The 12,027-nt window shown below is 37.7% G+C and overlaps 1 long non-coding RNA gene across 1 annotated transcript in view; it reads right to left on the bottom strand.

Annotated features, from left to right (window-relative positions):
* DEPDC1-AS1 (DEPDC1 antisense RNA 1) overlaps positions 1–12,027 on the bottom strand; it is a 41,952-nt gene that overhangs the window by 29,021 nt on the left and 904 nt on the right. The window lies entirely within an intron of this gene.

Genomic DNA, 12,027 nt, shown 5'->3' with positions numbered 1-12,027 from the left:
ATATTTTCAAATATAAACAGACTGCTTTGAATAATCAAAGGTGACTTATAGAGTGAATAGAAGCCCCTTGAGAAAACTGGCCTCATACCTTGTCTACACAGTCCCTGTACAGGGTTCCTGACCTGCGGTAAGCAAAGAATGTCACTTTCCGACAGGCTCAGGAACCTCAAGTTATCTTGTCACCTTGAGAGGAGAGTGATTTACCCAACTCATACAAGTATTTGCGAGCACAGATAAATCTGTGGCTGGGCTCAATGCTTTGAAAAATCTAATATGAGATTCCTTATAGAACAAACTTCCATCAAAGCCGATTTAAAAAGAGCCTATGTGGCAAATAATTTATTCTTGTTGTACTTTATGCAAATAATCAGGCCAAGTATAAGACTAAAACTTATTTTGCAATAAATTGGTCCTACTATGATTTTGTCTCTAATAAAGTTGGGGAATTAGAAAAAGAAAAATCATGTTTCAAAATAAACTAGAGTACACCTGTTACTAGGTTCTGGCCTTGCCTAATATTTTTATGTTTTTATTATTTTCTATAAATTGGACAGAATTCTAAAGTTTTTCCTGGCTGCAAGTTCCCAAAATAATGTCTTACATTTTTTCCTTCTTTCTTTTCCTTTTTTCGTCATTTTTCCTGATTTGAAATCACTGAACATTAAACTGAGAAAACTGGAACTAGACAACTTAAACTTCAGAAGAAAATAACAGCAACATATATATATATGTACTTACAACCACTTACATATATATGTGTGTATATATAGATATATGTGTGTGTATATATATAATATATATATAATATACCATTTCATACCTTCCTACTGATGTATGGACTTTAGAATAATATGGCCTTTATGGGTTTTCCAGGATTGCTCTCCCTTTTTTTGTTCATTTGTAGTTTTAGTTCTCTCTTCCTCCCCCTATTTTTTTTCTTTGTAGGACGTGAGACTGCACAACCTGTTAATAATGAGCTTTTCTAACATGAGAACTTCCTAGGAATAAACCATCCTAGCCATGAGAGATGAGACAAAACTCAAGACCACAGACTCATTTTCTTCTAAAATGTTTTCTCTGAAGATTTTAAAAAGAAAAGGGGAGAGAATTTCGAAAGAAAAAAAAACCTGGGAGCCCAACTCACTATGCCAAAAGGAAAAAAATTACCTGAAAGCTGAATCATGCAAGAAGCTGCCTTTCCTTTTGTTCCTAAGCAAATATCTACGGATAAAAGGTTAAAAATCTTCATAGGAGGCCGGGCGCGGTGGCTCATGCCTGTAATCCCAGCACTTTGGGAAGTGGAGGCGGGCGGATCACCTGAAGTCAGGAGTTCAAGACCAGCCTGGCCAACATGGTGAAACCCGTCTCCACTGAAAACACAAAAATTAGCCAGGCATGGTGGCAGGCGCCTGTAATCCCAGCTGCTCGGGAGGCTGAGGCAGGGGAATCACTTGAACCCGGGAGGTGGAGGTTGCAGTGAGCCGAGATCGCACCATTGTACTCCAGCCTGGGTGACAAGAGCGAGACTTTGTCTCAAAGAAAAGAAAAAAAAAGTCTTCACAGGAAGTTACTATGTTCACCTTATCTTATGTAAAGTACCAATATACTGAGCTTGAGGTGAATACATAATTGACTATTCCCCTACCTGTTCCTTTTCTCTTGCAATATATGAGTTCAGTAATGTGACCATACCCTCTCTCTTTCCCCTCCAGCCTGCTTTTCCCCTGAAACCTTCAAAATCTCCTATGGAGAAAGTACAGACCTGTCTCATGGGCATGTCCTCAACCTTGGCAAAATAAACTTTGAAAGTGATTGAAACCTGTCTCAGCTACCTTTTGGTTTACACCCAAATGATTTTTTTTCCTGTAAATCATCCTATTACATACAAATACAGCACAGAATTATATGGGATATGGCAACATGACTACAAGTACCTGTCACTGTCCTCCCAGTTTTTCTCAGTAGATGTGGATGGTCCATTTCATACTACAGTCTTTACCAGAATCTTTGGAGAATTTAGGGACTTCCATCTACTTTGTACTAGGTGGGATATCAGTGGTCTCTGAAGGTAAAACTCCTCACAAACACTCAAAGGTCTCAAGATCACTTAGCTGTCAAACATCTACATTTCTCAGGAAGAGAGCACTTTATTGTGAGCAATTATATTAGGCCATTCTTGCATTACTATAAAGAAATACCTGAGACTGGGTAATTTATAAAGAAAAGAGTTTAAATTGGCTCATGATTTTGCAGGCATTATAGGAAACATGGAACTGGGCATCTGCTTGGCTTCTGATGAGGCCTCAGGAAGTTTACAAGCATGGTAGAAGGCTAAGGGGGAGCAGGCATGTCATATGTCCAGAGCAGGAGCAAGTGAGAGAGAGAGTGGGCAATTCCATACACTTTTAAATGACGATATCTCCTGTGAACTCAGAGAGAGAGGTTACTTATTACCAAAGAGGATGGCCTAAGCCATTCATGAGGAATCTGCTCCCATGATCCAAACACAACCCACCAGGACCCACCTCCAGCGTTAGGAATTACAATTAAACATGAGATTTGGGAAAGGGCAAATATCCAAACTATATCAGCAATCCTGAAAAATCTCTCAAATACAATTATATAGTTGCTCTGACGTCTATGTAGAGTGTTGTAACGTACTGGAATGATATAGAACCTTACCTAGGAGCTCAATGGCATCTGTGCCCTTGAGAAAAGTCATTGTCATTAGCATTCTTGAAAACGTGTCTTTTACTGGAGACCTTTGGAGGGTAGATGAAAGAAATCTAAACAAACTGACTTGTTTAATAAAAAATTGTTATTGTCCCACTTAATAAAATTTCAGGAGTCTAAGTGAACCGCAGAAAGACTAAAATTAGCACTCTCTAGCTCTCCTTTCTGCTTCTCTTTGGTCATCAGTGCATTTCACCTGACTAGAGAGTCTCCATTCAGGTGTAACTATAACCACACTGGCTCCTGGCTCATAGCCTCTCATCTTAGTCACCAGAAAGAGAAGGCTTTTCCCTCTTAATCCAGTTTTTAAAAATCTTACTGACTCAGCTTGGGTCATGTGACCGCCTCATTGGAATTGGGTGAGCAGAACTGTGACTCAGTTGGAGCAAGTGTTCACTCCTAGATCCCTGAGACAAGAAAGAAAAGTTCTCTCAGAATACATTTTAGAGCTAGAAAGGGCCAGACGCAGTGGCTCACACCTGTAATCCCAGCACTTTGGGAGGCCATAGGTGGAAGGATCACTTGAGGTCAGGAGTTTGAGACCAGCCTGGCCAAATTTTTAGTAGTGAACCCCGTCTCTACTAAAAATACAAAAATTAGCCAGGCATGGTGCCACACACCTGTAGTCCCAGCTACTCAGGAGGCTGAGACAGGAGAATCACTTGAACCTGGGAGGTGGAGGTTGTAGTGAGCCAAGATCGTACCACTGCACTATAGCCTGAATGACAGAGCAAGACTCTGTCTCAAAAAAAAAAAAAAATGCTAGAGAAGTATTTTCCCAAATAAGGAGGTATACTTTTCCCAAAGGAAATGAGAGCTGATTGCCAGACAAGACAATACATGTCAACTGTACTTCTAATCCTAAACTACACCAGCTGTCTGAATACTTGAGGATGCAGGATTTGGGGAATGACGGTTGAAAAATAAAAAGTCATTATCTGAAAAATACTTACATGGACATAACTGATCTTCACTGAGGCTTATTTCAGTTACTGATGTTAAATTTTTAAAAAAAGCCTTGTATAAGAAAACATAAATTTAAATTAAAAGCAATGCAAACAATAAAATAATCAGCAGTTCAAAGAAGAGGGTCATTCTGAGCATTTTACTGTGAGCTAGTTTAAGACAAAAGGGAAAAATAATTAAAGTCTTATTCATAATTCATATCTCCAAGCCTAAATCAAGAGCAGGCAATACAGAAATAAATAATAATGAGAGAATAGAAAAGTCTTCCTGGAGATGAATGAAAAACTGAGCATAAAAGAAAATTAAATAGAAGCTCAGCTGGAAGAATTCTCTCAGAATTTGAAGAAAAAAATAATAAAAGGAAAATTATAGAAGGAAAGACATCAGAAAAATAAGATAGATCCAGAAGATCAAATAATTAATAATAGTTTCAGGCCGGGCGCGGTGGCTCACGCCTGTAATCCCAGCACTTTGGGAGGCCGAGGCGGGTGGATCATGAGGTCAGGAGATCGAGACCATCCTGGCTAACAAGGTGAAACCCCGTCTCTACTAAAAAAATACAAAAAATTAGCCGGGCGCGGTGGCGGGCGCCTGTAGTCCCAGCTACTCGGGAGGCTGAGGCAGGAGAATGGCGTGAACCTGGGAGGCGGAGCTTGCAGTGAGCCGAGATTGCGCCACTGCAGTCCGCAGTCCGGCCTGGGCGACAGAGCGAGACTCCGTCTCAAAAAAAAAAAAAAAAAAAAAAAAATAGTTTCAGAAGCAGGCAGGACAACAGCCAGGAGCAATTTAAAAGAAAAAAATTAAAAGAAATTTCAGACCAGACCAAATATTAGACAAAATTCACGAAATAAGACTCATAACTAGACATAGCATGGTGCAATGGCTAACTTCAAGGATAAATAAATTTTACAGACTTTCAGGAATATTTTATTAAAGGTTACCTAGAAAGGAAAGACAATTATATTCCCTATATATAAACTTTCCTTTTTGTGATAAGAAAAAATTCATCCTTTCACCAAATATTTATTAAATTCCTACTATGTGCTGTTTAGGGGCTGGAGATAGAGCACTAATCAAACTGGATAAAGTCTTGGCCATGGAACTTATTTTCTAGTGGGAATATATGAATTCCATGGGCAGAATGAGGAAAGCCTACTAGAATAGATAATTTCTGTCTAGGCGGAAAAAATTTGTCTCACTATATATAATACAGGGTACATGCAATTCATTTTCTTTTTTAAAAATTTTTTTATTTCCATAGGTTATTGGAGAACAGGTGGTGTTTGTATATGAGTAAGTTCTTTAGTGGTGATTTGTGAGATTTTGGTGCACTCATCACCTGAGCAGTGTGCACTGCATCCTATTTGTTGTCTTTTACTCCTCACTCCCTTCCCACCCTTTCCCCTGAGTCTCCAAAGTCCATTGTGTCATTTTTATGCATTTGCATCCTCATAGCTTAGCTCCCACTTATGAATGAGAATATACAATGTTTGGTTTTCCATTCCTGAGTTACCTCACTTAGAATTAAGTCTCCAATTTCATCCAGGTCGTTGCAAATGCCATTGATTCATTCCTTTTTATGGCTGAGTAGTATTCCATCATATATGTATGCCAAAATTTCTTTACCTACTTGTTGATTGATGGGCATTTAGGTTGGTTCCACATTTTTGCAGTTTCAAGTTGTGCTGCTATAAACATGTGTGTGCAAGTATCTTTTTCATATAATGACTTCTTTTCCTCTGAGTAGATATTCAATAGTGGGATTACAAAATCAAATGGTAGTTCTAATTTTAGTTCTTTAGGGAATCTCCACACTGTTTTCCATAGTGATTGTACTAGTTTACCTTCCCACCAGCAGTGTAGAAGTGTTCCCTATTCTTTGCATCCACACCAACATCTATTTTTTTTTATTTTTTTATTATGGCCATTCTTGCAGGAGTAAGGTAGTATCACATTCTGGTTTTGATTTGCATTTCTCTGATCATTAGTGATGTCGAGCATTTTTTCATGTTTGTTGGCCATTTGTATATCTTGTTTTGAGAATTGATTATTCATGTCCTTAGCCCATTTTTCGATGAGATTGTTTATTTTTCCTTGCCAATTTGTTTGAGTTCATTGTAGATTCTGGATATTAGTCCTTTGTCACATGTATAAATTGTGAAGATTTTCTCCTACTCTGTGGGTTGTCTATTTACTCTGCTGACTGTTCCTTTTGCTGTGCAAAAGCTCTTTAGTTTAATTAAATGCCAGCTATTTATCTTTGTTTTTATTGAATTTGCTTTTGGGTTCTTGGTCATGAAATCCTTGCCTAAGCTAATGTATAGAAAGGTTTTCCAATGTTATCTTTTAAAATATTTATAGTTTCAGGTCTTAGATTTAAGTCGTTGATCCATCTTGAGTTGATTTTTGTATAAGGTGAGAGATGAGGATTCAGTTTCATTCTCCTACATGTGGCTTGCCAATTATCCCAGCACCATTTGTTGAATAGGGTGTTCTTTCCCTACTTTATGTTTTTCTTTGCTTTGTCAAAAATCAGTTGGCTGTAAGTATTTGGGCTTATTTCTGCATTCTCTATTCTGCTCCATTGGTCTCTGTGACTATTTATACACCAGTACCATGCTGTTTTGGTGACCATGGCTCTACAGTATAGTTTGAAATCAGGTAATGTGATGCCTTCAGATTTATTCTTTTTGCTTTGGCTATGTGGAATGTTCTTTGGTTCCATATGAATGTTAGGATTCTTTTTTCTAGTTCTGTGAAGAACAATGGTGGTATTTTTATGGGAATTTCATTGAATTTGTAGATTGCTTTTGGCAGTATGGTCATTTTTACAATATTGATTCTACCTATCCATGAGCATGGGATGTGTTTCCATTTGTTTGTGTCATCCATGGTTTCTTTCAGCCATGTTTTGTAGTTTTCCTTGTAGAGATCTTTCTTCTCCTTGGTGAGATATATTTCTAAGTTTTTTGTTGTTATTATTTGTTTTTATTTTGTGCAGCTACTGTAAAAGGGGTTGAGCTCTTCATTTGATTTTCAGCTTGGTCACTGTTGGTGTATAGAATAGCTACTGATCCGTGAACATTAATTTTGTATCCAGAAACTTTGCTGAATTATTTTATCAGTTCTAGGAGCTTTCTGGAAGAGACTTGAGGATTTTCTAGGTAAACAATCATATCATCAGCAAAAAGTGGCAGTTTGACTTCCTCTTTGCTGATTTGGATGTCCTTTATTTCTTTCTCTTGTCTGATTGCTCTGGCTAGGACTTCCAGTACTATGTTGAAGAGAAGTGGTGAGAGTGGGCATCCTTGTCTTGTTCCAGTTCTCAGAGGGAATGCTTTCAACTTTTCCCCATTCAGTATTATGTTGGCTATGGGTTTGTCATAGACGACTTTTATTATATTGAGGTATGTCCCTTGTATGCCAATTTTGCTGACAGTTTAATCGTAAAGCAATGCTGGATTTTGTCAAATGCTTTTTCTGCATCCATTGAGATGATCATGTGATTTTTGTTTTTAATTCTGTTTATGTGGTATATCACATTTATTGACTCGTGTATGTTAAAACATCCCTGTATCCCTGGCATGAAACCCACTTGATCATGGAAAATCATCTTTTGATATGCCATTGGATTTGGTTAGCTAGCATTTTGTTAAGGATTTTTGCATCTATGTTCGTCAGGGATACTGGTCTGTAGTTTTCTTTTTGGTTATGTCATTTCCTGGTTTTGGTATTAGGGTGATACTGGCTTCATAGAATTTGGGATGATTCCCTCTTCCTCTATCTTGTGGAATACTGTCAATGGGATTGGTACCAATTCTTCTTTGAATGTCTGGTAGAATTCTGCTGTGAATCCATCTGGTCCTGGAGTTTTTTTGTTGGTAATTTTTTAATTACCATTTCAATCTCACTGCTTATTACTGGTCTGTTCAGGGTATCTAATTCTTCCTGATTTAAGCTAGGAGGATTGTATCATTCCAGGAATTTATCCATCTCCTCTATTTGAGCTTATTTGAATTTTCTCTCTTCTTTTCTTGGTTAATCTTGCTAATGGTCTATCAACTGTATTTATCTTTTCAAAGAATTAGCTTTTATTTCATTTATCTTCTTTTTTTGTTTCAATTTCATTTAGTTCTGATCTGATCTTGCTTATTTCCTTTCTCTGCTGGGTTTGGGTTTGGTTTGTTCTTATTTCCTTAGTTCCTTGAGGTGTGACCTTAGATTGTCTGTTTGTGCTCTTTCAGACTTTTTAATGTAGGTGTTTAGGAAGATAAATTTTCCTCTTAGCACTGCCTTTTCTGTATCTCAGAGGTTTTGACAGGTTGTGTCACTATTATTGTTCAGTTCAAAGAAATTTTTAATTTTCATCTTGATTTCATTGTTGACCCAATAAAGGATGCAGGAGCAGTTTATTTAATTTCCATGTATTTACATGGTTTTGAAGGTTCCTTTTGGAGTTGATTTCCAGTTTTATTCCACTGTGGTCTGAGAGAGTGCTTTATATAATTTTAATTTTCTTAAATTTATTGAGGCTTATTTTGTAGCCTATCATATGGTCTATCTTGGAGAAAGTTCCATACGCTGATGAATAGAATGTATATTCTGCGGTTGTTGGGTAGAATGCCTTTTGTTAAGTCCATTTGTCCCAGGGTATAGTTTAAATCCATTGTTTCTTTGTTGACTTTCTGTCTTGATAACCTGTCTAGTGCTGTCAGAGGAGTATTGAAGTCCCCCACTATTATTGTGTTGCTTTCTATCTCATTTCTTAGGTCTAGCAGTAATTGTTTTATAAATTTGGGGGCTTCAGTGTTAGGTGCATATATACTTAGGATTCTGATATTTTCTTGTTGGACAAGGCCTTTTATCATTATATAATGTCCCTCTTCATCTTTTTTAACTGCTGTTGCTTTAAAGTTTATTTTGACTGATATAAGAATAGCTACTCCTGCTCATGTTTTGTGTCCATTTGCATGGAATGACTTTTTCCACCCCTTTACCTTAAGTTTATGTGAGTCCTTATGTGTTAGGTTAGTCTCTTGAAGGCAGCAAGTAGTTCGTTGGTGAATTCTTATCCATTCTGCAATTCCGTATTTTTTCAGTGGAGCATTTAGGCCATTTACATTCGACATTAGTATTGAGATGTGAGGTTCCATTCCATTTATCATGCTATTCGTTGCCTGTATACCTTAGTTTTCTGGGTTTTTTTTCAATTGTATTTTTGTTTTATAGGTCCTGTGAGATTTATGCTTTAAACAGGTTCTGTTTTGATGTGTTTCCAGGATTTGTTTCAAGGTTTAGAGGTCTTTTTAGCAGTTCTTATAGTGCTGGCTTGGTAGTGACAAATTCTCTCAGCATTTGATTGTCTGAAAAAGACTATATCTTTCCTTCATTTATGAAGCTTAGTTTCACTGGATACAAAATTCTTGGCTAATTGTTTTGTTTGAGGAGGCTGAATATAGGACCCCAATCGTTTGAGGAGGCCGAATATAGGGCCCCAATCCCTTCTAGCTTACAGGGTTTCTGCTGAGAAATCTGCTGTTAATCCAATAGGTTTTTCTTTACAGGTTACCTGGTCTTTTGTCTCACAGCTCTTAAGATTCTTTCTTTCATCTTAACTTTAGATAATCTGACGATAATGTGACTAGGTGATGATCTTTTTGTGATGAATTTCCCAGGTGTTCTGTGAGTTTCCTGTATTTGGATGTCTAGGTCTCTAGCAAGGCCAGGGAAGTTTCCCTCGATTATCCCCCCAAATATGTTTTCCAAACTTTTAGATTTCTCTTCTTCCTCAAAAATGCCAATTATACTTAGATTTGGTTATTTAACATAATCCCAGACTTCTTGGAGGCTTTGTTCATACTTTCTTATTCTTTTTTTTTTTTTTTGTCTTAGTCGGATTGGGTTAATTCAAAAACCTTGTCTTTGAGCTCTGAAGTTCTTTCATCTGCTTGTTCAATTCTATTGCTGAGACTTTCCAGAGCATTTTGCATTTCTATAAGTGCGTCCATGGTTTCCTGAAGTTTTTATTGTTTTTTAATTATGCTATCTATCTCATTGGAAATTTCTCCCCTCATTTCTTGTATCATTTTTTGGATTTCCTTAAATTGTGCTTTGCCTTTCTCTGGATCGCCCTGATTAACTTAATAATGAAACTTCTGAACTCTTTTTTAGGTTAATCAGGGATTTCTTCTTGTTTTGGATCCATTGCTGGTGAGCTAGTGTGATTTTTGGGGGGTGTTAAAGAACTTTGTCATATTACCAGAGTTGGTTTTCTGATTCCTTCTCATTTGGGTAGGCTCTGTCATAGGAAAGGCCTAGGGCTCAAGGCTGTGGTTCAGATTCTTTTGTCCCATGGAGTGTTCCCTTGATGTAGTGGTTTCCCCCTTTTCCTAGGGATGTGGCTTCCTGAGAGCCAAGATGTAGTGATTGTTATCTCCTCTGGATCTAGCCACCCAGCAAGTCTACCAGGCTCTGGGCTGGTACTGGGGGTTGTCTGCACAGAGTCGTGTGATGTGAACTGTCTGTGGGTCTCTCAGTCATGGATACCAGCCAGCACAGTATTTGGGGTGTCTTCCGGGTCCTGCAGGAGCAATCCACTTCCTTCAGATGGTCTATCAATTCTCTCAGCTTTCCTGATTTATTCCTGCAGTCATTCTGGAGCAAAAGTTCACAGTGCAAGCCTCCACATTCTGCTCTTTCCATCCAAGTGGGAGCTGCAATCTAGTCCTGCCTCCCATCCACCATTATCTCTCCAGCTACCTGAATTAAGTTCTGTGTGGCTTGGGACGCCTCACGATCATGGCAGAAGGTGAAAGGCACATCTCACATGGTGGCAGACAAAAGAAGAGAGCTCATTTTCTTTTGTGATACTCATTGTATCACAATGAGTAGATTAGGTTAGGTTCAGCTAGAAGAGTAAATTAACAGAGGCTCATATTTCTTTCATATATAAGTCCACAGCTAGGCAGTTCATGGGCATTACAGCATCTCAGCTGCACAGTCTTCAGAGATACAGCCTCCTCCAACCCTACACATTTACCCTGTACTCTCCCTCCCATGACAAACACACACACACACACATACATACACATATATACATACACCCCAATCAGGATTTGGGGAATCCCAGGAATCAGCATTTTAACAGGTATTGCAGGAAATTCTAAAACATGTAGTTTTTAACCCACTCTGAGAAATTCTAATGTAGGAGAATTAGGAAAAGGATGATAAAGTGACTCTCGCAGAATTGGTAATGAGAGGAAATAAAATGACTTCCAAGATTTAAACTATGCAATCAATGAATAATTGTTAAGAGCAAAGGTATGTAAAGTTACCTTAAAGAAACTCAGACCACTCACATTTAACAAAAACCTAACTTTTAAATATTTTATCATCTAAAGACACTATAAATGTGAAAGTGGATGGTGCAGAGTGAATCCACAGCCACAGTGGATTATTAAGGTACTATTAAGCTGTGGCTACCTATATCAAAGGCTGTATGTGAGATGATTTTCAACTTGGGGAGCTGGGCAAAAATAAATTTTGGCTTCCACAGTCTCATCTCCATTTCCTTCTGAAAGGAAAAAGAAAAGAAAAACGAAAATCCTGGGACAATGTATCATAAAGCCAGGTAAGAAACAGTTAACATTATTTTGTAACATCAATCATTTTACTTTTCCTTAACATAAGTGGAAAATTGAGTAGATTGTTCCTGTTTACCAAGTATGTTTTTGAAAATTCCTACCCACTGGTCCTGGTAGAAAATAGATGTGCTTCTGCCCAAATTAAGGAAAACTCCACAGACCTACACTACCACTCCCTGAACATTTTTCTTTATCTCTTCTTTTTACTGCATCCTATCCTCTTAAACTGCTATTTAATTTCCAAGTGAATTCTTCCACAGCTTCAAATCACTCAAGCAATCTCCCACTTTACTAAGGGATTCTTAGCATCAGATAGTTTCAGACTGGTGACAGGGTATTTATTAAAAGCATGAAGTCTGTGCTTTGCCAAGGAGACCTAAGACTGAGTAAGTCTCTTCAACTCTCGGAATGTAGTTTTTGTCATTTGAAAATTGACTTCTGTTGAAGATTTATTTTCTAAGATCCTAGTGAAATTTTAAGTGTATAATCACGATCCAAACATAACCAACATTCTTATACAGTGGTAGAGTTTAAGGGAAGCAATTTGACAAGTTGTACACAACCTTTCCCAAGCCCCACATTGTATGTACTTAAGAAAGACTACCTATAATCCATTTTATTACCCAACTGGGGGGTTCTGAATGATCCATTTTACTGCACAATTAGGGGGTTCTGAACCTAGATT

Source organism: Homo sapiens, chromosome 1 (assembly GCF_000001405.40).
Source record: "Homo sapiens chromosome 1, GRCh38.p14 Primary Assembly".
Taxonomy (NCBI): domain Eukaryota; kingdom Metazoa; phylum Chordata; class Mammalia; order Primates; family Hominidae; genus Homo; species Homo sapiens.
The sequence above is the reverse complement of the archived record's forward strand: the minus strand, read 5'-3'. Positions and strand labels throughout refer to the sequence as shown.